The sequence below is a fragment of the Homo sapiens genome, chromosome 17 (genome assembly GCF_000001405.40).
Source record: "Homo sapiens chromosome 17, GRCh38.p14 Primary Assembly".
Lineage (NCBI taxonomy): Eukaryota > Metazoa > Chordata > Mammalia > Primates > Hominidae > Homo > Homo sapiens.
In genome coordinates this window covers 17,546,961-17,573,459 of record NC_000017.11, presented here as the reverse complement: position 1 = coordinate 17,573,459, position 26,499 = coordinate 17,546,961, and the positions used below count along the sequence as shown (strand labels likewise).

Below are 26,499 nucleotides of genomic sequence, written 5' to 3'. Positions count from 1 at the left end.
CATCTCACTCTGTTTCCCAGGCTGGAGTGCAGTGGCATGATCTTGGCTTACTGCAACCTCTGCCTCTCAGGTTCAAGCGATTCCCCTGCCTCAGCCTCCCAAGTAGCTGGGATTACGGGGACCTGCCACCAAGCCCAGCTAACTTTTTTGTAGTTTTAGTAGAGATGGGGTTTCACCATCTTGGCCAGGCCTTGTGATCCACCTGACTCGGCCTCCCAAAGTGCTGGGATTATAGGCATGAGCCACCGCGCCAGGCCTTTTTTTTCTTTTTGAGACAGAGTCTTGCTCTGTTGCCCAGGCTGGAGTGCAGTGGCACGATCTCGACTCACTGCAACCTCCACCTCCCAGGTTCAAGTGGTTCTCCTGCCTCAGCCTCCTGAGTAGCTGGGATTACAGGCATGCACCACTGTGCCTGACTAATTTTTGTATTTTTAGTAGAGACAGGGTTTCACCATGTTGGCAAGGCTGGTGTCGAACTCCTGACCTCAGGTGATCTGCCCGCGTTGGCCTCCCAAAGTGCTGGGATTACAGGCATGAGCCACCACGCCTGGCTCTTGAATATTTTTATCTGCAGTTGCTGCGGAGGGCTGGCTGGTGGTGGCGGGACTCATGCTCAGGTGTTGTGCCCAGTGCATGTCATGCAGTATTTCAATGAATCTTCACAGCAAATGCTGTTAATATCCCCTTTGGAGACTGAAGCTTGAAGAGGTTCATTCATACATTCTTCAAATGTTTATTGAGCATCTACTGTGCGCTGGGCACCATCCCGGCCCCTGGCCCTCACGCAGCAGCTTCAGTGGTGAATGAATGTATAGCACTGCCGGTGACACAGCAGGCAAGGGGAGGGACAGACAGGGGTGGTGGTCAGGGAAGGCCTCTCTGATGGGTGTCCTTTCACCAGAAACCTGATTCTCATGCAGGAGGGCCCTCAGGTGTCTGGGGAAGAGCATTCTGTCAGGAAAACACAAGTGCAAAAGTCCTGGGGCACTCTTGAGTGTCCTCGGAGGTTTTAAGGGACAGCTGCCGCTGGAGCCAGGCAGAGGGAGAATGGAGGAGCAGGACGGAGAGGTGGCTGGGGACGGTGGTGCAGGCCTTGCGGGCCATGGGGAGAGACATTCCCTGGACTCTGAGCTGGGAGCCATTGCAGAGGTGGCATGATCTGAGTCAGAGTTTCAAGGTCACTGCACCAAGGACAGAGGAGAAGAGACAAAGGTGGAGCTGAGAGGCCAGCAGGCCCCAGATGGCAGCTTGACCACAGTGGGACTGGCGGAGGTGGGAGCAGTGATCAGGGAGAGCTGAGAGAGGTGGCTTGGCCAGCCCATGGTTGGGCCTGAGTGACCCGTGGGAGGCAAGGCCGTTGGCTGCCCTGGGGCAACCGTGGGAGGAGAGGCTTGTGGAGGAAGAGCTCGGTTTTGCCTGTGTCAGACACGGATGTCCTTGGGCTCCAGACAGTGTGAGAAGGCCAGGCATGGTGGCTCACGCCTATAATCCCAAGCACTTTGGGAGGCCAAGGCAGGCGGATCGCTTGAGCCCAGGAGTTCGAAACCAGCCCGGGCAACGTGGTGAAATGTCATCTCTGTAAAAATACAAAATTTAGCCAGGTGTGGTGGTGAGCACCGGCTACTGGGAAGGCTGAGGTGGGTGGGTCACTTGAGCTCTGGGGGTCGAGGCTGCCATGAGTTGTGCTCAAGCCACTGAACTCCAGTTTGGGTGGCAGAGTGAGACCCTGTATCAGAAAAAAAAAAAAACCCAAAACAAAACAGACTGTGTGTGAGTCTGGACTCCTGGGGAGCTGGGGGCACTGGAGAGGGGCCTTGGCCCCAGGCCCACTGTGTGCCTTTCTGGGCTGTGGCTCTAGGGAGTGTTTTCCCAGCATTGGGCTGGGGTGCTGCCCGCTTCTGCTCATCAGCACCCACTCCGTCCCTTCCCTCTTCCCTCCCAGGCTTCCTAGGTGAGCCACCTGCTCCCACCCCTCCCTCCACCTGGCCAGCTGGCATCTCCTCCACTCTGTTGGAACATTTCTTCCCAAGGCCTCCTCCTGCTCTTCCTTGTTCAGACCATGGGAGGCTTTCCCGGCCTTCTCTTTCTGGGTCTTTGGGGGAGTTCACACTGCGGACCCTCACTCTTCCTGGAGACCGGCCTTCCTGTGCGCCACGATGCTTTTCTGGCTCTCTTCCTGCTGTTCTTGTGAATTCTGCTTCCTCCACCTGATGTTCATTTGCTCAGCGAATAGTCACCGAGAACCTGCCATGCACCAGGCACTGTGTGTGTCCTCAGAGAGTGAATGACCTCTGTCCTTCCAGAGCACAGATATGTTTGTAATGAACACTGTGATAAGGGCTCAGGAAACAAAGATCAAGGTGTCACAGAGGGACTGACAGGCTTTTCCCTCTGTCATCTGAGTCTCAGTCTGTGGCCTGGACTCCTCAGGGCTTCAGGACCTTGGGTCCAGGCACTGTGGCCCTACGTGGGAGTCTCCAGTCTCCAAAGGGAGCCCCTGCCAAGACCTCCCCAATGTTCTGTTCTTTCCCTATCACTCCAGATGCCAGGGCAGTGGTCCAAGGACCAGGATGGACTCCCTCTTCTCACCTGCCCCCGGATCTGTACCCTCGCGGACTCTACCTGGCTTCGTGCCATCACCCCCGCCAGATCACCAGCAGCAGCTGCTTGCAGCCAGTCTCCCCACTGCTCCTCTCTAGCCACCCTTGAGGGCCATGCTCAGAGGTCCCCAGGTTTTCCAGGAAATGGAACTTTTCCCCTGTCCCGGGAGGCCCTTCTGGCAGGCGTCCTCCCACCTGTATCCTCAGTCATCCCAGGTCTTGGGCCTTTCTGGGTGATCTGGCTTCTCTTGTGCAAGGCTGCCCACAGACCTTTGTTACCGCAGCTTGGAGTGGTCCTTGTCAGGTGTCCCCTCCCTCATGCCTCCTCACCCTGCCCTCTCTGACTCAGGGTTGCTGACTTTTGGGGCCATCCCTGGCACTACAGGTGTCCAGCAATGTCCCCGGCCTCTGCCCACTAGATGTCAGTAGTACCCCAAGCCCAGGCCATCTGAGTGGTTTCCAGACATTGCCTGATGTCCCTTGAGGGCCATGGCTGCCTGGGCGTTCTGAGTACCTACCCCTCAGCACAGCCTGCCATACCTGCTGTCACTGTTTGTCTCTCACTGTCCCCTTCCCAGGAGCATCCTAAGAGAGTTGAAGCGGAGCCTGCTCTGCTTCTGTGTCCCCAATCCTGGCATGTGCAGTGCTCCGGGTGGCAGCTGCTGCCTGACCTTCTGTGTCAAGGAGGGTAGGGCACCTGTTGTAGCTCAGTGCCTGTGCCCAGCACCATGCCTGGCAGAAATGGATGTCCAGGCAGTGTTTATTGGCTTTGTGAGCGTGGATTGCCCATTGACTGGTTTTCTGCAGTGGCACCTGGTGGACAAGGTGAGGCTCCATTGTGCCAGGTTCTATGCACACCCCGACTCTGTGAAATAAAGCACTGCATGGAGGTAAAGAGCAGCAGTCATTTGTAGCAGGCTCAGCGATTCCTGGCATCCCAGTGAAGATAAGATAGGCAGCCTGTGCCACTCCAGCTCCCAGAGCCCCCCTGCTTGCCCTGCCCTGCCATGCCCTGTGTTGTCCCGAGGGAGCCAGCATGGGAGGCACAGCAGCTGCCTTGAGCAGTTATTTACAAGAGCAAAGTGTGCACATGCTTTGGTATTTTAACTTTATTGAAGACCAGTTGCATGTAACCAACATCAAAGCTGCTGGAGACATAGCAAGTTGGAACCCTACTTCCAACCTAGAAGGATTTCTAGGCAGAGTTGCCTGTGTCTGACTTCCCTTCCTCACTGGGACCCCGTAAACCTGAAGGGGAGCTGTAAGGAATCCTGCCAAGACGGCAGATGCACACGGGGTCACGCCGGTTTCCTCCAGCCTTGGGAGGGTGCTTCCTGGTGCCTTTGTTTGTCCCCTTCCAAGCCCTGCGTGGCCACCCTGCTTTCTGCTCTCCCTGGGTGCCTGGCTCTCATGTGCAGGTCTTTGCTTGGGGACACCCAAGTCCATCCTCAAGGTCAGTGTGCAGCTCCTCCCCTCTGAGGCCCCTCTCTCCCACAGTGCACCCTGCCCAAGACCTCTCGCTCCATTGGGCCGGGGGTGGCTCCTGCACATGTGCTCCAGAGAGGAAAGGCATTTGACAGGTCAGCTGCAGACAGGTGTTCTGACACTCACTGTCAACCAGACCAAAGCCCCAGCCCTTGGCCCTGCAGAGGATACCTATAGAGGGGCAGCAGGCCTTATGTCTGTATCAGGACGCTGACCTGTCCCTCTGGCCGGGGACTTTCCTGCTTTTAGCCTGAGAGTCTCTTTCCCTGGAACCCAAGTCAGTCCTGGGCAGAACAGGACAGTTGGCCACTGTAGTCTGGAGAGTTGTTTGGGAAGAGGCAGCTTTTCCTTTCTGGGAGGTGAGAGTCCACTTGCTGCGCTGGGCCGCTGGCTGGGCCTGGGGTTTCCTGGGCCTGGATGTTTGACCTGCTGGCTGGTACTGGCAGCAGCTGCACCCCAGGGTGGCCAGACGGTAGGTGGCGCTGTGGGCAAGGTGAGGTGTGCTTCTCCTGGCTCCTGGGAGGAGGAAGAGGAGGAGGAGGAGAAGGAAGAAAAGGTGTGGGTGCTCCTGCCTCACCTCAGTCACCTCCTCACCTGCAGCTCCCTCACCTGCCTACCACCCTTAGTGTGAGTTTGCTGCTGCTGCTGCCTCAGTTTCCATTTTCAGATCCCCAGCCAGCGGTCTATGGCTCGTTTCTGAGTGCCCCAAGGGATCCCTCCAGGTGCCGGGAAAGCCGACCTTGTAGGTGCTATGGGATCAGCCCAGGCCCTGTACCCTTGTCATTCACATCCCCTTCCTGGGCATCGGTTTCTCCATTTGTAAAGTGAGGACGCTCAGCTGAGGCCCCATCTAGCTCTGAAATGCTGCAATCCCTGCGCTTTACCAAGTCCTGGCTCTGGGGCAGCTCTGTGCCGGGACGGGACCCTGCCCTCCTGGGCTGGCACTGGATTAACAAGGTCAGATTGGACATTAGATGTTACATAGAAAAATCAGCATTTGGTTAATAAGAAAGCTCACAACTTATTAACCAAGGAGTTACGGAGAGAGCATAACCAGGTAATGCGTGGGGAGACAGGGTCGTGGGGGCTGGAGGAGGTGATGGTGGGCCATAGGCAGGGCAGCACTTGGCCCACGTGGGCTTTTTGGAGGAGTCATAGGGGCAGGGTGGGCAGGAGTTGAGGCCAAGGAAAGGGATATGAGTGTAGACAAAAGGTGGACTACAGGTGGGCCTGGGGCTTGTGAGGGAGGACCCCAAGTGCATACCTGCAATCTGGACTGTCTGCTCAAGGATGGTGGCATGTGTGTGTGTGTGTAGGTGTGTGAGTGTGTGCATGTGTGTGAGTGTGTGTGTGTCAGAAGTTAGGATGGGGGCATGAGCCAAACTGTCTGAGACCCTTGCTTCCATCTGGCTCAGAAATCTGGCTCCCAGGGCATGGCCGCATATCCAGTGGGCTCCAAGCCAGTGTTTCTGGACCAGAAAGCGTCGTCCTCTGCCAGGGCCTCTTGCACTTGCGGGAAAGCTGAGCTGAGCTGGGCTTACTGGCGGAGCCTGTGGCACAAGAAGGGTTTTTCTTTGAGCAGAGCCAGCTGGCTCATCAGGCCTGACTGAGACCTTGGCTCTAGGAGCACAGCTCTTGTCTCTTCAGACCAGTGTCACCTAAGATACTGTGGCCCTCCTAGCTCTCCCCCGCTCCTGTCTGGGCTGTGCTCACAGCTGGACTCCTGCAGAACGAATGGCAGGTCTAGCTTCAGCTCCATGGCTGGGGACAGTCAGTGCCTTGTCCCCAGTGCCCACGCTCACTCCCCTGGCCCCTTGATGTTGGGTCTCAAGTGCAAGCCGTTCCACGGCACATGAGTGTGGGATCTTTCAGAGCCAGGCAGTGGACGTGGGCTTTTAGCTGGCAACAGCCCTGCTGCCCCTGGGGCACTGCCTGCCTCTGAATGGCAGCTGAGCTGGGCAGCAGCATTACTCTGTGTGCTGCTGGCACTGGCCTGGTGGGGAGCCTCTGCTATCAGGCTAGGGCTAACTTTAGAATTGTGGTGCCTGAGCAACGTGGTGACAAAGTGTACAACAAGGTGTCTCGAACTGGGTCAGCTCACAGCCTGTGCCAGGATGGCTGGGAGTGACATGGACAGGAACAAAAGGGAGGGGAGAGGGAGCGCACTCCCACCTGGAGCCTGGCAGGCAGGATCCCCACTGAGCCGATCTCTTCCACTGAGCCGGCCCATCCCTCCCTGTAGGTTCCTCATACTCCAGAGATGGCTGGGTGGGACCCAAGCGTGTCTTCCCTGGATGATTTATTTTTGGTTCTGGCATTTACAGCATGATGAAGGCTATTGGACACTGCTAGTGTGAGCAGAATCACCCTAACCGAAAGGCAGCGTGCGGCCCTGGGCAGTAGGGTTTGGTGTAGACATCTCTCGGGATCCCTCCCACACTGAGGAGAGGAGGCAGGGGACCCAGGCTGCCTTAGTTACTTTCCCTTTTCTTAGGCATTCCCAGTAGGTTGGGCCTCCTACTTCCACCTTTCTGTGGACCCGGCTGGTGGCCTTCAGGCTAAGCATGGCTGGTGAGGTTCGTTCGCGACCTGCCCCCCTGCGCCCAGTTGGGTGCATCTCCTGAAACTTATCTCCCAGAGCTTGGGCCACCTGAGCCACCACTGTTCTGCAGACGCGTTCTTCTCCGTACTTCAGTGCCTTTGCACTTTCTGCTTCCTCCCCTTCGCCAGCTTTCCCGCCTTCACCTGGCTGCCTTGGCTCTTCCAGCCTGGCTTCCCTGAGCCCTGGCTCTGTGCAGACATGGCTGGGCCCTCCTCCCTGTGCCTTCCTGAACCCTGCGGCAGTGCTGAGCCCTAGCCCCGGGAACTGAGGTTGAAAGTGTGTGTTTTGCCTCCTGCCTAGACTGAGAGCTCTTGGAAACTAGGGGTGGGGTCTGAGGCACCTGTGGATGTCCCGGGCCTGGCCTGGTGCTGTGAGGCATGGATGGTGAAGGGTGCCCTCTTTCCTGGAGGAGGAACCCTGAGGCGTCCCCAGGAAGCCATGCAACCAGGCACACTCACCCCCAACTCTACTGGGATCACGCACAACCCGCTTGGCTGTTCCCCACTTTCTCATGCCTTCTTTCTCTCCCTGTAAAACTCCCTGCCAGGCCCCAGGCCTGCACTGTCAGGAACTGAGATGCAGCCCAGCGGGGCTGTGTTATTTGCTTTACCCCATTCCTGGGTCTTCTTTGGAGGCTGAATGAAATTCCATGGACAATTTCCAAGGCATGAGTTTTTGTGTCATTTCACTGCTAACCTACTTGGTGACCCAAAACAAAACCCTTCCCTTGAGTCTGGAGGAGCAGCCTCTGCCCCACTTTGCTCAGAGGTGCAACAAGGCCTTCAGGAGGGAATGGGTGTAAAAGGGTTTGGGCTCCAAGGAGAAGCAGCTGCGGGAGCTGCCTGGCTGCTCCATCTCCAGAAGAGCTCTTGCATGAGTGGAAACACCCAGGCCTGCCTCTTTCAGCCACTGCTCCCAGCTTTAGGCCAAGCACTTTCACTTAGCCCCAGAAACTCTTGCCTAGAAAATTCTCATGGCCTCTAGGGATACATCTTGGAGAGTACTTCTGTAGCTGGCGGCCCCTTTCTCTCCAGAAGTGCGGAGTCAGCCTGGGAGGGACAGCTTGAGACTCAGGAGCTGATGGATGTGCTCATTTGTGGCCAATGCCACAGGGCCACACAGTGGCAGCTGGTGTTGGGCTCTCCAGTGTCACGGATGCTGCTGCCAGGGTTCATCAGTTGCCCTAGAGGCAGCCCTGTTCCTGCCACCTGTCCTGACTCCCCGCCCTCCCCATTTCCTGCCAGGCGTGGCACAGTGAGACTTAGGTGGGCTCAGATAGGAGACGGTAAGTGCTAGGCTGCCCACTGGGCCTCCCGGTTCAGAAGATGCTGGGCTGAGAACACTGAGCTTCTGTTCCAGGGGAGTTTCCCTTGTTTGTGTTACTGCTGGACCTTGAGATGATTCCATTATTTTATTCAAAAAAGGGGACACTGGCCTGATGCAGAGGTGTGGTCTCTCTCCTGCAGGTGTTGGTGGCTGGTGAGCCTGGGCTGGCTGTGGGGACCCTTCGCTTACAGGCAAGGTGTGCCCTGGGCAGTGGGCAGAGATCTCAAGAGAAGCTGAAATGGGGGCAGAGCAGCCTGACTCAAAGGTCCTGGGGGAAGGGGGATGGAGAATCTGGTTGCCTGATGGGAAGTAGCCAATTAGGAGGGTCCTGAGGATGGACGCAGAGGGTGGGAGGTGGAGCCTGCAGAGATTCCCCAGCCACAGTTTTCAAAACCAGCTGTTGTCTCGCAAGGCACTGGCAGGCAGGCGCAGGGCTCTGCAGGTGTGCAAGAGGTTCCAGGCAGCTGCTGGGCTCACCCTCCTAGGAAGACATTTGTCCCACCATCCCATGCTGAAAATGACCCAAGGCAGGGACCCCACCCGGTGTGTGCAGTGCAGGGGTGTGTGTTCCTGGAGGCCTTTCTCCCAAGGCCCTCCCTGGCCAGGGCACCCCTACCAGGCTGAGTCCCACCTGTCCAGCTGACGTCACAGCCTCTTGCTTGAATTGGCATGGGCGGTGGGTGTGAGCCCCTCTGGTGAGGACAGCGTTGGCAGCTGCTAGGCACTGTCCCCCTTGGGCAGCTGTGGGAGCAGAGGGAAGAGAGACTGGGGGTACCCGCCTTCCCAGATGGAGCGGGCTGCTCATGGGACTTAGCTGGAGTTTCCAAGGAGACTGAGGTTTGGGGGTTTCTGTGAGCTGGCCGGATGTTGCTGAAGTGCCTCTGCCCTCTCTGGCCTCTGTGCCCTTATTATGTGTAATTCTGTTCTGCACCGCCCTGCTGTGTAAACTTGGCAAGTTCTGGTCCCCTCTCCTGCTTGTAGTTTCCTGGGCTAAAATCAAAGGAGGTAAATTATCTCCCAAGGTCCTTTCCATTCTGGATCCTCTGTTAATCCAAGGGAGATGGGGAAGAGGGCTTGGAAACAGCTGGATTTGGGGATGAAGATTCCACTGGGGGCAGAGGGGAGGCAGCCCCCCACCCAAGCCCCATACTCCATCTCCATTCCTCACTCCCTGCCAGGAGTGGAATGTGGGCAGGTAAGAGTCCCAGAGGGGTAAGAGCCATTGGTGGGAAGCAACTGTGGGACCAGTGCCGCCACCACGGCCCAAGGACCTGGTGTTCGATGCCGCATCCTTCCGGTGGCGTCTGTGGCTCTTCTCCTTCCCCCTGACCCACCCATGCCTCCGCCCTGGGGCTGGTGGGATTGCTCTCAAAACCACCTTAGCCAAGAGGGCTCCTTCCCAAGACTCAGGAGGAAGAACATAGGGGACAGCCAGGCCTAAAGGGGCTGGGCAGGGGCTCTAGAGAATTAAAGCTGCCCAGGCCACAGCCCCGCCCTGTGAGGGCCTCACAAGCCCTGTGCAGGCCGAGTGCTAGAGACTCCCCTCTTCCAGGAGCCAGTGCCCTCCTGGGGAGGCGGGCAGACTGTGCCCCACTCCTGGGTGAGGTGGGTGGGGCTGTGCTGGAGCTGGCTGCCCTAGTGGCCTCAGACCTGGCCATGTGCGTTCTTAGAAAGGCGTTTGGTCTTTCCTCTAAGATGAGCATAGCGTCCCTTCCTCAGGGTTGGCTGAGGAGCTTGGTGTGGACAGCCGGGCTCCAGGCACACAGCGGTCCCAGTACACCTGTCGCTTTGCCTGCCACCCGCTTACGGTAGCAGCATGGTTGTAATAAAGCAATAAAGCCAGCGTGGATGGGCGATGTTGCTATTGCTATTAATGATCTTTGCTCATGAAATTTTTAGTCGCCTTTCTGGCCTTCCTCTATCTCAGGCCAAAACTGCCCCTTCTTCCTAAGGGGCACCCTGTGCTTCTTGCTGCAGAATCCTGGGGCTTCCCCCTTCGCATTTCCGTGGAACTCAGAGATGGTACCTCCCTGCGAGGTGGGGCTGAGAGGGGGCCCCTGCGGATGCGGTTATTGGAAGGGCTGAGGGGTCAGAGGCCAGGTTTGGCCCCACCAATGGCTGGCACCAATAACAACACCCATGTAGACCAGGTGTCTGCCCAGAAGCCCCATGTACCTGAGGTCAGGAAGCCTCCCTGGGAGGTGGAGGTGCTGTTAAGGAGCAGCTGGTGGGAACCCCCAACGTGCTTCTCTCCGAGGGCCTCAGGGGCTCTTAGTCTGCCGGCTCCTCAGGCTGGGGCTTCCTGCACCCCTAGCGCCCACCCTCCAACTCTCCCCTGCTGCTGAGACAGATCTTGGAGCCTCGGCCAGGCTGTCCTAGTCACAAGGTAAGTGTCCAAGGCAGGCGTCAGAGTCACCAGCAGCCACTTGAGGCCTCCTTCCCTTTGAATTGAGAGGCATGGAAAAGGGAGCGTCTGCGAGGAAAGGATGGCTGCATGCAGGTTCCTTGTCAGGTGGGTGGGGACGTGGGACATGCCTGACATCAGAGAAGCCACATGGGGCAGGGGGATGGGGAAATGGCCTCCTCTGGGCAAGGGTCTGGTGGGACCTGGGGGCATTTCTCTCTCTTTTTTTTTCTTGAGACAGACTCTTGCTCTGTCACCCAGGCTGGAGTGCAGTGGTGCGATCTCCACTCACTGCAAGCTCTGCCTCCCAGGTTCAAGAAATTCTCCCACCTCAGCCTCCCAAGTAGCTGGGACTACCAGTGTGTGCCACCATGCCCGGCTAATTTTTGCAATTTTAGTAGAGACAAGGTTTCACCATGTTGGCCAGGCTGGTCTCAAACTCCTGACCTCAAGTGATCTGCCTGTCTCAGCCTCTCAAAGTGCTGGGATTACAGGTGAGCCACCGTGCCCGGCCAGGGGCAATTGTCTGCTCGAAGGCACATGTTCCCCAACAGCCTTTGAGCGTGGGATCAAGGGAGTGCAGCTGTCTTGAGGGGCGGGACAGCCCGTGGCGAGGGACAGTGCCCTCCCCATCAGGAGCTCAGTGCTAACCGTGCCTCCACTGTGACTGTCACGGTGGTCAGCCTCATAGTCATCATCAACACTCCTGCCACTGTCGTGGCTGCCGCTGCAGTGAGCTCAGTGCCTGAGACACAACACATGGATCCAGCGGATCCGATCTGCCTTAAGGGGCAGCACTGGTGTTACAGAAGCAGCAGCTGAAGGCCCGAGAAGTCACTTGACTTGTCAGGGCCTCGGCCGTGTGTGCAGAGCTGGTCCCGCCCTGTGCTTCATGCCCCCTATGCCTCTCACTGCCTGGTACATGGATGCATCATGGCAGGAAAGTGGAAAAACAGCCCCGAGCTGCAGCACGGCCGACTCCAATGGGCCGGAACGCCAGCCTTGCTGGCAGGAAGAGGCCCTCCAAGCGCCTCTCGTGGATCCGGCCCAGATCCGGTCCTGAGGCCCCTCCCACCGGAGCCTGGGGTGCCCTCACATGCCCTGCGCCAACTTCGCAACAGCCCAGCTTCCCGGCTGCTGTGTGCCCTGCCTGTGTCAATATTATGACTGGACTTCCTGTGGGTCAGGCCGCACGTGGGGCGTCCGCGTGAGGTAGCCACGTGGAAGTGGTACCCCCATGTCCTTGAGCCCACTGGAGTCTGTCCCCCTTGCCATCCTCGGGAGCCCGGTGCGGTTGTGCCCCCCTCATATCTCTGGGCCTCTCAGCACACAGGTCTGTCCTGCCTTTGATAGCAAGACGGACCTGGGCAAGGTTCCTGGCTTCTCCGAGCCTTGGTATTCTCATCTGTGACCCAGGCACAGCTGCCTGGCTCACTGTTGCAAGGGCCGGGATGGTGCCTGGAGTGGGTGGTGCCTGGAGCCAGCTCAGCGTCAGTGACCCTCGTCTGTTCCCTCTTCCTACCTCCAGCCTTACCGTCCGCTTCCCCCTCGGGCAGCCACCCCAGGGCATCTGTTGTGGAACTGCTCTGTGGGTTTTGTCCTTGATACCTTTCCAGGCTTCTTCAGGTTGGGCTCAGGCAGGGACTCAGGGGGACTTAGCTTCCAGCTTGCAGCCTCACCGCTTGGGTTCCGGCTGTGGCTGGCCATTCACTGTGCTAAGCTTCGTGCCTTGGCGTTCTTAACTGTGAAAGAGGGTTACCTGTAGGTTCCACCTCCTGGGTCGTGTGAGGATGTGACACACTCCGTGTGCAGCACAGGGAGCCAGGCAGAGTTGAAGCCTGAAAAATGTGAGCTGGGAGTGGCTGTTGTCCTCTGGGCCCTGCCCCACGGTGCCCAGTGAATGTTTGATGACTGTGGTGTGTGTGGGTCCTGCCCATCATGTGAGACTCCCTGGAACCTGAGGCAAATAGGATTTGAGTGTGGGGTCTGGAGGAAGGGAGGAGAGAGGGGAGAGGAAGGCGCGGCCGGGGTCCTTGCTATCTTCAGTCACACTGCACACATTGCTGACTCCTAGACGTGTGTCAGGCCAGGCCCAGGGTTCAGGGATCCCAGGGCCCAGGGGATGGTTGGTTAAAGGCAGTCTTGGGAGCGGGAAGGACAAGCGGAAGCTCAGGCAGCGTGTAGGTGAGGGTGGGGTGAGGTGGAGGTGGGGAGGAGTGTCGAGGGGAGGCTGGACACCCTGCCCCTGTGGCTAGGGCAGCAGGGAGCCTGTGTAGACATGCAGCTGGTGTGGACGCGAAGGGTGGCTTGGTTGGGACCTGTCACCCGGTCACCATGCTGCTCCTTGGCTAGGCAGGGCTATTCCTCAAGGGCCAGTTTGGTTAAAAGGTGATGATGTCTGCACAGATGTGGCTCCAAATTCCACCATCCCCAGGGGCCCGCGCCCCCATTCCCGGTTCTCTAACCCCTCCCCGGGGCCGGTGTGGTGAAGACAGCACAGCTTCTGGGCCCCAGGCAGCCCCTGTTGCTCCTTAGCTATGTGGCTTTGGATAGGTTAGCTGCCTACCCTTTTCTGGATAGGTACCTCTGTCTCCTTTTCCGATAACCTCTGCCACAGCCTCTGCTGTGGCATTTGGTGATGAAATGAGACCATGTGTGCCAAGAGCTGGTCCAGGACCTGGCCCCGGCTGGCGAGTGGCGGGGATGGGGCGGCCCCTTGGTGTCTGCTCCTGCCTCCCAGGCGGGCAGCTCGGCCTGGCCCAGGGCACATTTCTCCTGCACCCAGGCATGTTCTTGCCTCTGGTGTCCCCGAGGCTGGGGCCTACAGCCTTTCCATCGTACTTGGCACACTGGAGGCCTCCCTGTCTGCCTTCACCCGATGCCTGCCTTGACCATGTGATGGTCAAGGAGTGCACAGTGTACAGCACATGGGGTGCTGTGCAAAGGACATGCCCCAGCCAGGTCACCGGGGATCTTTCTGGCCAGGTCAGGCCGTGGCTTCGCTGTGACTGTCTTGGAGACTGGGTCTTGGCGGGCCTGGTGGAGGCCTTAGGTGGGGTAGAGTAGCCGGTAGGCCTCAGAGGCTTTGTCCACCTCTGACTTCCCAGCACTCAGGTGGGGCCCACTCAGGCCAGGAAGAGCACCGGGCCACTCGCAGCCGTGCAGCGGGGCTCCAGCCCCAGTCACACCACTGATTGGCCTGGGCTTGCCGTTTCACTGCTCTGAACCATAGGTTCCCCACTCAGAAACTGGGAGGGCGTGGGGCTGCATGGTGGGCCTTTTCTGCCCCCACACTTCTGTTGCCATCCTGTTCTCGGGCTCCCCTCTGTGCCTAGGGTTTCCTGGGAATCCTGGCCCAGACTCACTGATAACCACAAATGCCCACCCAATCCAGAGGCCACAATTCCTCCACCCCTACTTGGACGTCCCTTACCAGCCAGAACTGGCCTTCATCTGGCCCCACCAGCCTTTGGCACCTCTGAGGACTCACAGGCCCGTTTCAAGGAGCTCAGTGCTGGACTGCCTCTGACCCCTGTCCCTCTCCACAGGTGCCCAGGCTCTGGCTGGCCCCCTTCACAGCGGGTTCCCTTCCCCGACAGGCCTCTGAGGGGCAGGCACCCGCTTTAAACAGGCTGCCTGGCTTCCAGTCCTGTTCTGCCTGCCTCGAGCAGGTCAGTTAGCCTCTGTGAGCCTCAGTTTCCTCTTCTGTGAAATGGGTACAGTGGTGTTGATCTCACTGGCAAGGCTTGCATGGGAAGTCCTAACGTAGTGTTCCTTCAGACCCCACTGCCTCCAGCCCTCCCCAGGGTCCCCTTTTCTGAAGTCCTATGTCTTGGAGCCAGGCGTGGAGAAGGGGCTGGGACCAGCCTCGCCAGCACACTTGCTAGCTGTGCAGCCCCGGCGGGTCATACCGGGCCTCTGGGACTCAGTTTCCTTGTCTGTAAAAATGGGGGGGAGCGTAAGAAGCTGCGACGGGGTGAAGTGAGCAGAGACGAGGTCTGATTTGGATTTTGTGAAGGTTTCTGCAACCATGGCAGGGATGCAGAGAGAGCAGGGTTGGGATGGGATGCATTTTGGAAATGGTGAAGGACTTGCTGATGGAAACCTTTCCAATCAGACTTGCTAAGAATTCTTTCGTGCTTCTCTTAGGACCCTGGTTGGGTGGGCTGACCTTGGAGTGGTGCTTCCTGCTAGGTGGTGGGGGCAGGCTCTGGGAGGGGTGTCGGCTGGAAGGGACCTTGTTATAGTGTACATGGAGCACCTGAGGCCTAGGAGGGCTCAGAAATCACTACAAACCCGTTGTCAAGCCAGGCTCCGGTCCACTCTGCTGCCCTTTCTTTTTGTTTTTTTTTTTTTTTTTCGTGAGACTGGTTCTCACTCTGCCTGGGCAGGAGTGCAGTAGCGCCATCTCTGCTCACTGCAACCTCTGCCTCCTGGGCTCAGGCGATCCTCCCATTTCAGCCCAAGTAGCTGGGAATACAGCCACACGTCACCATGCCTGGCTAATTTTTTTTGTTTTTTGTTTTTTTTTTTTGAGATAGAGTTTCACTCTTGTTGCCCAGGTTGGAGTACAATGGCACGATCTCAGCTCACTGCAACCCCTGCCTCCCAGGTTCAAGCAATTCTCCTGCCTCAGCCTCCCAAGTAGCTGGGATTACAGGCGTGTGCCACCACACCCAGCTAATTTTTTGTATTTGTAGTAGAGACAGTGTTTCACCATGTTGGCCAGGCTGGTTTCGAACTCTTGACCTCAGGTGTTCCACCTGCCTCAGCCTCCCAAAGCCCTGGGATTGCAGGCATGAGCCACCACGCCCAGCCCTAATTTTTAAATTTGTGTGTGTGTGTGTGTGTGTTTGTATGTGTGTGGAGACGGGAGTCTCGCCATGTTGCCCAGGCTGGTCTCAAACTCCTGGGCTCCAGCGATTCTGCCGCCTCACCCTCCCAAAGTGCTGGGACTGTAAGCATACGCTCCTGTGCCCAGCCTCCACTGCCCTTTCTTTCCGTGCCTCCAGCTGGCTCCTCTGACTGTCCTGCAGCAGGAAGCTACTGCAGGTGCCAAGCTCTTGGGGTTCTGGTGTTTAGCCCAGCCAGCCAAGCATGGTTCTGTCCCTAGCTAGTCCCTGGCCCTCCCTGGCCATTCGCTTAGAGATGCCATTTCCTCCTAGTAAACCCTGGGGAGGGTGAGGCCGGCTTGAAGCTCAGCTTGGCAGCCATGGGCTCCAGGAGCCAGTATTTTCCCTCGGGAACACCTGACAGTCCCGGACGCCTGGCTCTACATGGAACTGGGAGAGTGGCCTGTCATTGTCACCAGCCCCTGCAATGTCCCCCTCTACTCCTTGGTGCTGGCTTGGGCCCACCCCATTTCAGTCCTGCTGAGCTTTGCCTTGGTTCTTTATTCATTCAGCAAACATCTCCTGGGCATTTGCCCCAATGGAAAGTACTGTTCTGGGCGCTGTGGGCTTTTGGCCATGAGCAGGAAGTTGACTCCGGAGGCTGCAGGGACCTGCTTAGGCATCCTCATTACCGCCTGGGTCCCAGAGCGAGCCAGGAGCCTCTGAGGCAGCGGGGGCTTCTCAACCACACACCTGGCTCTCCTCCTCCAAGACTTTCTGCGTGCACCAGCATCTTCCATTTTGTGTTTCCTGTCTGTTTACCATGTGTAATTTTGTCAGCATGTCACGTCCCTTTCATAATGAAGCAAGGGACAAAGAAACAAGGGCCAGTGGAGCCCAGTACAGGGTGGCCAGAGGTGTCGGCTCTATGTAGGTCTGCTGCTCTGGTGTGTCCCTGCGTGAGGGTCAGGCTGGGGAGGTGGCGGCAAGAATCAGCCAGGCAGGAAAGACTAACAGGCTGCCCAGAGGCCGGGAGCCGGTGCATGGGTGGTAGTGGTTGGGGGCATTGCTGAGTGCAGAGGCTCCGGGGGAAAAGCCAGGGGTTAAGGGATGCCAGGCAGGCATCTGACCTGGGACTGAATCCTCTGGCAGCAACCTAGAAGCAGCTCAGCAAGGTGAGGGAGATTTGAGGCATCAGAGGCAAATTATGTCCTCTTAGAGCCCCTGCGGATCTGCCAAGACTGAGGGCTTCTCTGTCTCTTTTCTGCATCCTGTGCTTGGCTGAAGATGAGAACCTTGCTTTCCCACTGAGAGGCAGTGGGCCACAGCACTGCGGGAGCCACGACATCTGCAGACGCATTTGATTTCCCCATTAATAGCAAAGCTCCCACTCCAAGGATCTTCCAGCAGACAAAGGGCATTTTAACCTTCCTCTCAGTCCCAGTTGCTTGGAGTGGCTCATGTGGCCTCTCTGAAGGAGGGAGGAGGCTTCAGACAGCCCCATGCATGTTCAGAGGCAACAGAAATTTGCAGGAAGGGCCAGGCGCAGCGGCTCACACCTGTAATCCCAGCACTTTGGGAGGCTGAGGCAGGTGGATCATCTGAGGTCAGGAGTTTGAGACCAGCCTGGCCAACATGGTGAAACCCCCTCTCTACTAAAAATACAAAAAACAGCCAGGTGTGGTGGCACGTGCCTGTAATCCCAGCTACTCGGGAGGCTGAGGCAGGGGAACCTCTTGAACCCAGGAAGCGGGAGTTGCAGTGAGCCAAGATCATCCCATTGCATTCTGGCTTGGGCGACAGAGCGAGACTCCGTCTAAAAAAAAAAAAAAGTGAGAGAGAGAGAGCAGGAAGGAAGGAAGGAAGGCTCCCATGCAGAAGGCTCCGGCCTTGGCTGAGCATCCAGTTTGCTGGGTACCTGGGCCAGGCCCTTCTCTCTTGGGCAATGAGACTCCCAATGACAGCTGCCTCGCAGGGCTGCTCTGAGAGTCAGAAGACCTGTTCCTGAGTTTTAGGGATGCTCAGTTGAGCAGGACCTGGCCCTGTTCTCTGGAGCTCATGGTCTGGGGGACACCCCCTCACCTGCCTCTGGACTCTCTGGCGTCCATCCAGCCACTTCAGTGCGACGTGTGACTGCTGCTTGTGCCCTTCCCCAGGAGTGGCTGTGTTCCGCTCATCATGGAGGCCTGGTGCCCGGCACAGTGCGCAGCACTTCAAGGCCTCAGAGCATGTTTCCTTAAAGCCACATCATCTGTGAAAGGAGCGGAGCATTCAAGCCTGCTGGCTCTTCCCAGGCAGAGGGAGACCTGGAGGAGAAGCCCAGGGACCCACGCATCCCCCTCCTTCTATGGGAGCCACTCTGCCTGCCCCACCCAGATGCCATATTCAGAGGATGGGAGGCAGAAAAACAGGTGGCTTCCGCCCCAGAGGGCGAGCATTTGCTTCTGTGTGATCGGAGGGCAGCACAGGGGCTGGCTGGGCCCTGGGATGATCGTGACAGGCTTTAGTGGTCTGGGTGGATGGGCCGTGGTCAGAGCCGATGTGACCAAATTGGCTTTCAGGGGAGCCCAGGCCACCTTCTGAGTGGAACCCAAGCACCAGCATAGGTCCTGGAGGGGCCAAAGGAAAAGGGAGGTTCAGACTCACTCAGGTGTGAATGCTGCCCCTGCCCAGGTAGGGACATGGCACCCCCACCCTCTTCTGTGATGCAGGCCTAGAGGTGGCAGTTCTGGAAAGTTCCTCCTCACCTTGCAGGGGAAACTGTTGAGGTGGAGGGCACTTGTCCAGGGCAGCACACTGTGACAGGTGGGAGCCGAGGCTCGGGAGGTGGGCCGGGCTGAGCTGTGACAGGTGCTGGTGAGCATCTCCTCCGCTTCCCCGTGCTCTGGCCGTAGCAGAAAGTGTCCCACTGCTGTCTCCAGGCAGCTCTGGCTCTTCCCTAATTCGGCCCCATCCCTCCGTGTCGCCCTTCTTCTTGGGGGTGGGTACAGTGCTCTGCAGAGCTCCATGGCTTCCCAGCTGGGTGACATGGACAAGCCATGTCCTCACTCTGGGCTCCAGTTTCCTCCTCTGTTAAATGGGCATAGTGGGAGTACCTGCTTGTAGGATCATCGTGAGAATCCAGTGAGTTGGTCCCTCTGCAGGGTTTAGAGCTGTGCCCATTAGTGCTCATGCATGTGTGTGTGGTCACTCTGGTGCCCATCCGCATCCCCAGTGGAGGCCGTGCATGGCCTTGAATGAGTAGCTATGTGCTCCCTTTCACTTCTGTGCTGTGGGACCTTTAAAAAAATCTGCTGGCCGGGCGCGATGGCTCGTGCCTGTAATCCTAGCACTTTGGGAGGCCGAGGTGGGTGGATCACCTGAAGTCAGGAGTTTGAGATCAGCCTGACCAACATGGTGAAACCCTGTCTCTACTAAAAATACAAAAATTAGCCAGGAGTGGTGGCGGGCACCTGTAATCCCAGCTACTCGGGAGGCTGAGGCAGGAGAACTGCTTGAAGCCGGGAGGCAGAGGTTGTAGTGAGCCAAGATCCTGTCACTACACTCCAGCCTGGGAGACAGAGCGAGACACTCTGTCTCAAAAAATTAAAAATAAAAATAATAAAAATTTTAAAAATCTGCTGAATTCACTCTGGCCGTCACTGATGAAACCTTGCAGGGAAGCGGCTCCGTTGCCTCAGCCTGTGCCGCTCGCAGCTCACGTTTGCTGGCTTAAAAGCAGCCAGAGCAGGGAGGCAAGCTGCCCACGCTGTTGGCCGCGCACTCTGCCTTCCGAACACGTTCCTGTACTGCTTGCCGTGCACGGAGGGCCACGTTCATGCCTTTGGGGCCACGACAGCTCTCTCTAGAGTAGGACATGGGAGGGGGGCTGTGAACATCTGGGGCAGCATCTTCTCTTCATGGATTGTCAGGAACTGCACCCTTGTTTACCGAGGGACAGAGGCCAGCCTCCCACTGCCTTGTGGCTGAGGGGAGGGGGCCGGGTCTCTAACGCTGTCTTCTTTGTACTGAAAACCAAACACCTTCTCTGCACAAGGTATGTCTGTGAGAGAAACAGACAAGAGGACAGAACGGAGCAGGTGCTGAAAGGGTTGCTGTTGGCTGCAGGATCCCGGCTACCAGGCCCCGAGCCTGGCCTCTGCTGGCCTTCACAGCCAGTTCCTGCTCACGGGCCAGGTCTCAGGTCCAGTGCCTCCTCCCGCAGAAGCCTCCAGACCCTCCTGCCCAGAGGAGCCCCCCACCCCACCCCTGGCTGGGTGTGCTCTGGGTGGGAGGGCTGTGACTGCCGGGCAGCGGGGAGGGAGGGCGAGTGGTTCCCCCAAGTGCGGCTCCTCTCCTGTCGTGGCAGGGACATGGCAGCTTTCAGGACAGGCAGAGGACATAGTAGGGAACTGAGGAGAGTTGTCCAGAGAAGTTTCTAGATTTGGCTCAGCTTTCCACGTAGGGTACAGACCTGGAAGGGACCGTCTGGCCACATCTGACTGCCAAGTGCTGCCGGGGAGAACCTGCTGAAGGTGCTGGACGTGGCTGTCCTGCGAGAAGGCCACGCGTGGGAGCTGAACTGAGCAGGGGGTGCTGGGTCAGGTTAGTGCTGGCCATTGGGTGGACGCGGGCCCATCGTGGGCTTGTGAGCCACTGTGGGCTTAAAAAGTGCAGAGTTGGGGGGATCCAGAGTGAGGGGCTGGAGCACAATTTCATGTGAGGGGTCATTCTGGGACAGTGGCACCACAAGCAGACCCGGGTGGCCGCTGGTAAGGGCCTGTGTGTGTGGTTGCCTACGCTCTTTCCATCTCTTGTCGGCTTCTCACAGCCTCCACAGAAGACAGGGATAGTTACAGGGAGGACAGGGAAAGTCCGAAGTGTGCAGGCGCCCTGCATCCCCGCAGCCAAGTTCTGGGCGGACACTGCCCTGAGCCAGGACGGTGAGGTGGGACGCCTTCCCCACCCAGCTGCCAGATCACCCCTCCTGGAGGGTGGGGTGGGGCCCTGACACCTTGTTCTTTGTCCCTGCCCCAAACTTTGGGGCCTGAATAGAGGAAGGCAGTGACATTAACTTCTTCCTGGCCATGGATACAGGTCCCTGAGGACACCGTGTGTGGGGACAGCAAAGCCTTCCTAATCCCCCAGCCGGCCAGGCACCTTCACACCTAAATGGAAACCTGCATGCTGGTTTCCATGAAGAAAAGGTTGCGATTGGGGTTTCTGGGAGGCCAGTGAGGGGTTGGGACTCTACAGAGGAGAGTGGACTCACGGGGCGCTGGGCCGCCCTCCAGCCAAGGCTCCTGGCCTGGGGGAAAGGGGGCAAGGGATGAGGGATGCAGGGAGCAGTGTGTTCAGAAAAGGTTGTTCCCTGAGCACAGATTTGACACCTCTTCACTGTCAGCGCTGAGACACGCCCCTGCCCTGGGGAGCTCAGAAAGTCAGGTGCGGGATCCAGTGGCCTAATTTTAGATCTTGGGTCTCCATGTCGAAACGACAGCAGAGTGATTAAAAAAGAAAACGACAGCATGGCCTTGCCCCCTTGTTAATTATGGATCAAGCACATTTCCATGAGAGGGGCATCTCCACGCAGGGCCACCGTGGCCGCATTTCTGCAGCCTGCAGGTCTCCGTGGCACCCACACCCCCCAACCGGGAATGGGGGTGGACTCCCCACCGCCCTGATGGGGCTTGGGTGCGCCGCGGGTGAGGAGCAGCGTCTCACCCACAGAGGTGTCTCCTCACGGGGATCAGCACCGGGTCAGGGATGGGAGGGACGGTGGTGGCCGTTTCAGGCAAGGCCCTTATTAGACATGAGAATCCCAAATGGCAGATGAAATACCCATTTACCCAGGACCCTCGGGAGGAACCCATTTTGCATCAGAGAATTCTCCAGTATTCAGTGAAACTTTTTTTTTTTTGAGTCAGAGTCTCCCTCTGTCGCCCAGGCTGGAGTGCAGTGGTGAGATCTCGGCTCACTGCCACCTCCGCCTCCTGGGTTCAAGCAATTCTCCTGCCTCAGCCTCCCTAGTAGCTGGGATTACAGGTATGCGCTACCATGCCCGGCTAATTTTTGTATTTTTTGTAGAGACAACCTCCACCTCCCAGGTTCAAGTGATTCTCCTGCCTCAGCCTACCAAGTAGCTGGGATTACAGGCACGCACCACCGTGCCTGACTAATTTTTGTATTTTTAGTAGAGACGGGGTTTCGCCATGTTGGCCAGGCTGGTCTCGAACCCCTGACCTAGGTGATCTGCCCGCCTCGGCCTCCCAAAGTGCAAGGATTACAGGCATGAGCCAATGCGCCCAGCCTTCAGTGGAACTTTAAATGCCTGAAGTTTTTTTGTATCGTCTCTTTAAAAAATTAACCGTCCGTCTCAGTCTCAGGTAGGTTCCCTGCCCTCCTCCATCCAACCGTGTCATGGTGACGAGGGGTCGCTGACCAGCAGCTCACCAGAGCTGGGACACACGGCCCTCATGCCCTGCGCTGGTGGCCGAGGGTGCTACACTTTTTCAGGACTCTCCTTGTTCAGTGTTTCTGGCCCCTCCTTCCAGTGTCACATTGCTGCTTATGGTGCCTGGTGCCTGTCCCGTGCCCCTCCTGTTTTGCTGCTGCTTATCTGCTGTTCGGGGCATCCTGTGACAGGCCAGTTGGAATCCTACGTAGAGTGAAAGCATCTCAGCCCCAGACAGGCCCGACCACTCCCACGCCAGCTTGTCTTCTCATCAGGGACTGGGCTGGGCTGCTGTGGAGGCCTGCAAGCCCGCGCCAGCTTCTCCACCCTGCTGGGCCTCAGAGGCGCCTGTCAGCTCCAGCTCACCACCGTGTGTGGCCCTCTGCCCCTTGCCTCTGGGACAGGTTTAGTCTGCAGTTATTATGTTCAAAATTTTAAAATTTTAAGCAGTTAACACTGATGCGTGATGAAAATTCCAACAGCACAAAAAGGCAGATAGTGACAATGTGCCCCTTGAATCCCTTTCCCCTGAACCCCTTTCCGGTGTCTTGGGTCCCTTCCTGAGATGTTCTCTGCAGCCTTCTGCATGGCGTTCAACATCATTTCCTTCATCAACAGTCGAGGATTACGGTCCCATAATAACAACAGTAATTAACGTTTATTAGCATTTCCCAGGTGCTGACCTTTGCACCCGTTCTCCCACTGATGGTCATTTGGTTTATTTCCAACTTTTCCTACTATGCACAGTGCTAAATTAAACCACCTGATACCACCAATCTGCACACGTGGGCAGGTACATGCAAGATCTGCAGCAGGGTCTGGAATAACGTCCTTTAGTTACAACGTTGATGATAAAAAGTTGATTCCCTTCTGCACCCACTGCCTGTGTGGAGTTTGTGTGCTCTCACGACTCCGTGGGCTTTCTCTGTACTCTGCTTTCTTTCACATCTCCGAGATGTGCACATTCAGTGAACTGGACATCTAAGTGGTCCCAGTCTGACCAGGTGTGGGTGCGAGTGTGTCCTGTGATGGAACGGCGTCCTGTCCAGGCTTTGTGCCCTGGGAGAGGCTCTAGCCACCTGCGACCTTGAACTAGAATAAGCGGGCTGGAAAATGAATGAATACAAGTAATTGTCAACTAAAAACTGTTGAAGTCTACAACAATCACACAAATGCATGACAATAAATGATGGGATCCGAATGCAGCCTGAGCCCGACACTTCTGTTCTTGTTTGGTTTTGAACTGTGTGGTGGTAGGAGGTGCTGTGGCATACCCTCGATAGCTGCGGGGAGTGGGGGGAAGGGGGGTCCTGAAGCAGACCGTTCAGGTGTGGCTTGTGCACACACCCCTTGACACCCAAGTGCCACAGGGGACCCCAAATTCCGTCCCAGCTGTGCATCTGCAAAGCTCAAATGGACTCTTGTTTCAAATTCGACCTAATCGGTGGCACAGAAAAGCTGTGAAGATCGTCCCCAGAGAAACCGAGCGGCAGCAGGCCCTGGAACAGGCAGAGATTGTGCTGTTCTGTCCTGTCCCTCCCTTTGGGTGACAGAGAACCACGAACGTCTGTGTCCTCAGAGGGTCACGGGACACGTTCCAGAGGGGGGTGGTGGGGAGCACAGTGAGCACAGAACATGGTATTTTCAATCCAGGCTGTACTGGCGAGGAGAGAGAGTCTCTGTGCCCAGCCCTGCTGATCCCCCCCGCTATCAGGGAGGAACTGTTTTCAGGGACAGTCTCACCACCCTGTGAAGAAGGATCCATTTCCGTCAGCACCCTGCCTTTCATGCTCCTCCCTGCTGTTGAGCAGCGTGTGCTCCCTCCCTGCGCCCACGCTGCCCACCCCCTGTTGGCATGGCCTCTGGAAGCTGCGGACTTGCAGGGACTGAATGTGTGTGCAGGTACAGAGTGGCCCAGACGAGGACGTGCCTCCCGTCTGCTGGGCTGAAAAGCTGTGGCAGCCCCAGACCCGCCTGAAAAGCACTGCTTTTGCCCAAGAGGATGGACAGATTGTCACAGCTATGGTTATCATAAGTGGCCTGTGGCTTTGTGAGGTATTAGCCTCAGGGAGCTGAGTGGAGACACACAGGCCTGCCCTGTGCTGTTTTTGCAACTTTCCTGAAAATCTAAAAGTGTTCTAAAATAAAAGGTAAAAAATGCCACGGTTGGCTGGGCACAGTGGCCCATGACTGTAATCCCAGCATTTTGTGAGGTTGAGTGAGGCAGGTGGATTGCTTGGGCACAGGAGTTTGGAAGCAGCCTGGGCAACATAGCAAGACCCCATCTCTACAAAAAAATATAAAAGTCACACCTGTGATCCCAGCACTTTGGGAGGCTGAGGCGGGTGGATCACGAGGTCAGGAGTTTGAGACCAGTCTGGCCAATATGGTGAAACCCCATCTCTACTAAAAATACAAAAATTAGCCAGGTGTGGTGGCATGTGCCTGTAGTCCCAGCTACTCAGGAGGCTGAGGCAGAAGAATCACGTGAACCCGGGAGGCGGAGGTTGCAGTGAGCCAAGATTGTGCCACTGCACTCCAGCCTGGGCGACAGAGTGAGACTCCGTCTCAAAAATAAACAAATAAATAAATAAAAATTTTGTTAAAAAGGGCATGGTGGCACATGCCTGTAGTCCCAGCTATTTGGGAGTCTGAGGTGGGAGGATCATCTGAGCCCAGGGAGGTCAAGGCTGCAGTGAGCTGTGATTGTGCCACTGTACTCCAATCTGGGTTACCTTGTCTCAAAAAAAAAAAGAATTCCATGGCTGCTTGTCACTGCAGAGGGTTGGTCTCACAGCCTGGTCAGGGTCCTGCTGAGGAGATGTGGCCTGGTCACTGTGCCTTCTGGACACACACCACCTAGTGTGGACACTTGCCACCCTCCACACACTGCCCAGACAGGCTCTACCTCCTGTCCTTCAAGACCTGTACTCGGCCGGACTCGGCGGCTCACGCCTGTAATCCCAGCACTTTGGGAGGCCGAGGCGGGCGGATCACCTGAGGTCAGGAGTTCAAGACCAGCCTCAACATGGAGAAACCCCATCTCTACTAAAAATGCAAACTTAGCCAGGCGTGGTGGTGCATGCCTGTAATCCCAGCTACTCAGGAGGCTGAGGCAGGAGAATTGCTTGAACCTGGGAGGCAGAGGTTGCGGTGAGCCGAGATCGTGCCATTGCACTCCAGCCTGGGCAACAAGAGCGAAACTGCGTCTCAAAAAAAAAAGACCTGTGCTCACCGTGAAGCCGTCACAGACTCTGGTATGAATTTAGCCACAGACTTGATGTTCTGATGCCTCGAGGAGCTTCTGGGTCCCTCAAGGGCCCAGGTGACATGATCTCCAGTGCAGCCTAGAGCTTTGGAATCCCTCTTCCTCCCCCAGACCCCTGGTCTCCAGAAGACCCCTAGGAGCCCAGGGACCATTCTAGAATGGCATGTTGTATACACGCTGTCCCTCCCCACTGGATGGTCAGCCCTCAGGGGCAGCACGGCTTGGCCCAGCCTACCCAGCCCAGGGCATTCAAGCTTTGGCCTCACCTAGAGCCAGGCTGGACGCCAGCAGGGCTGTGTGCAGCTTGGCCAGCTTTGGAGCTCCCATCTGTGGACTGCCGCCATGACAATAGCTACCTCAAAGTGTTCTTGAGGACCAAAGGAAGTCATTCCTTCCCCTCGAGGGAGGCTGGAACCTAATGGGTATCCCGGGAGGTGGGGGGAGGTTCGGATAGAACATCCCGCTGCTGTGCGTGCAGCAGAGTGGCTGCCATCAGATTTCTTTGGGGTGGCCTGCGCACTGGCTCTGATTTGATGACGTTCTCTGTGTTTTCCAATTTTCTTCTTGCTCTTTAGCTCCTTCCTTCTGGCTTCTCCATCTTCACATTTCCCACAGAATTCAGTTGTGATTTAGATTTTCCATGCCCCTCACTAGCGTGTTCTGGCTCCTGTCATGCAGACACCTTACACTTAAATACCAAGTCCGAGATAAACCTGCTTTCAGTTCACGGGCGCTTGGAGGTCCTGGGAGTTCTGTCCTTGAGCATGAGGAAGGAGATGCACAGGGTAGGGCCCTGTGGCTGTGCCCCAGACAGGAGGAGGAGGACGAGGAGGATGAGGAGGAGGAGGAGGAGGAAGAGGAGGGAGGCTTTCCAGACACACAGGCAGGGCTGGGGGAGCCATGCAGGAGATAAGCCAGGCTGAACTTGGGACTTTTGCACACAATGCTTCTCTGCCTGGAAGGCCCTTCTTTCTGTGTTCTGTGTGGTGTCTGCTTTTCATCCTGCACGCCACAGTGTGAAGGTCACCTCCCTGACTGCCCTCGCTCCAGGTTATTCTTTCTCCCAGCACCCTGTTCTTTGGCGAGCGCATCTCTGGCATCATCACACAGAGTCCATGCGGCACAGACAGGAGGCCCCCTTGGGCAGAGGCCCTGAACGCCTCGCCTGCTTGCCCTAGTGCCCCAGGGCCTGGCACTTGGCAGCCCTCCATAGCTACCTGAAGAACAGATCTGTGTGTGGAGAGGGGTCGGGAGCTCTGCACTTTGGGAGGACTATGGCTGGCATTTGCTTGCAGTTGGGGCTGGTTTGCAAATATTTCTCTCTGCCTCAGCAGGTGAGAAATAGCACCTCGGAGCTCCTTGCCTGTTCAATTATTTCTGATTGAATTAATTATCCTGCAGTAACAGCGGAGCTGCTAATAGGGAACATTGGGTGCCCCCCAGGCGGAGCATGTGGCTCGAGAGCACGCCTGGAGCTGGAGACCAGTGGGCAGCCCAGCTCTTCGGGGGCGCAGGCCCCCTGGAGCTCTTCTGACGATGGGCAGCTTCA

The 26,499-nt window shown here is 57.1% G+C and overlaps 1 protein-coding gene across 7 annotated transcripts in view, besides 5 other annotated features; it reads left to right on the top strand.

The window, feature by feature from the left end:
- The window catches only part of PEMT (phosphatidylethanolamine N-methyltransferase), an 86,580-nt gene that overhangs the window by 18,683 nt on the left and 41,398 nt on the right, over positions 1-26,499 (top strand). The gene's annotated exons all lie outside the window — the stretch shown is intronic.
- Positions 3,634-4,523: an enhancer, noted in NCBI's record as "H3K4me1 hESC enhancer chr17:17472251-17473140 (GRCh37/hg19 assembly coordinates)". NCBI's record gives its function as "activates a minimal SCP1, AML or CMV promoter by ChIP-STARR-seq in primed H9 embryonic stem cells {active_cell/tissue: H9 hESC(primed)}" and the evidence as "EXISTENCE:reporter gene assay evidence [ECO:0000049][PMID:30033119]".
- Positions 4,524-5,415: an enhancer, noted in NCBI's record as "H3K4me1 hESC enhancer chr17:17471359-17472250 (GRCh37/hg19 assembly coordinates)". NCBI's record gives its function as "activates a minimal SCP1, AML or CMV promoter by ChIP-STARR-seq in naive H9 embryonic stem cells {active_cell/tissue: H9 hESC(naive)}" and the evidence as "EXISTENCE:reporter gene assay evidence [ECO:0000049][PMID:30033119]".
- Positions 5,416-6,305: an enhancer, noted in NCBI's record as "H3K4me1 hESC enhancer chr17:17470469-17471358 (GRCh37/hg19 assembly coordinates)". NCBI's record gives its function as "activates a minimal SCP1, AML or CMV promoter by ChIP-STARR-seq in naive H9 embryonic stem cells {active_cell/tissue: H9 hESC(naive)}" and the evidence as "EXISTENCE:reporter gene assay evidence [ECO:0000049][PMID:30033119]".
- Positions 9,954-10,817: an enhancer, noted in NCBI's record as "H3K4me1 hESC enhancer chr17:17465957-17466820 (GRCh37/hg19 assembly coordinates)". NCBI's record gives its function as "activates a minimal SCP1, AML or CMV promoter by ChIP-STARR-seq in naive H9 embryonic stem cells {active_cell/tissue: H9 hESC(naive)}" and the evidence as "EXISTENCE:reporter gene assay evidence [ECO:0000049][PMID:30033119]".
- Positions 19,672-20,477: an enhancer, noted in NCBI's record as "H3K4me1 hESC enhancer chr17:17456297-17457102 (GRCh37/hg19 assembly coordinates)". NCBI's record gives its function as "activates a minimal SCP1, AML or CMV promoter by ChIP-STARR-seq in naive H9 embryonic stem cells {active_cell/tissue: H9 hESC(naive)}" and the evidence as "EXISTENCE:reporter gene assay evidence [ECO:0000049][PMID:30033119]".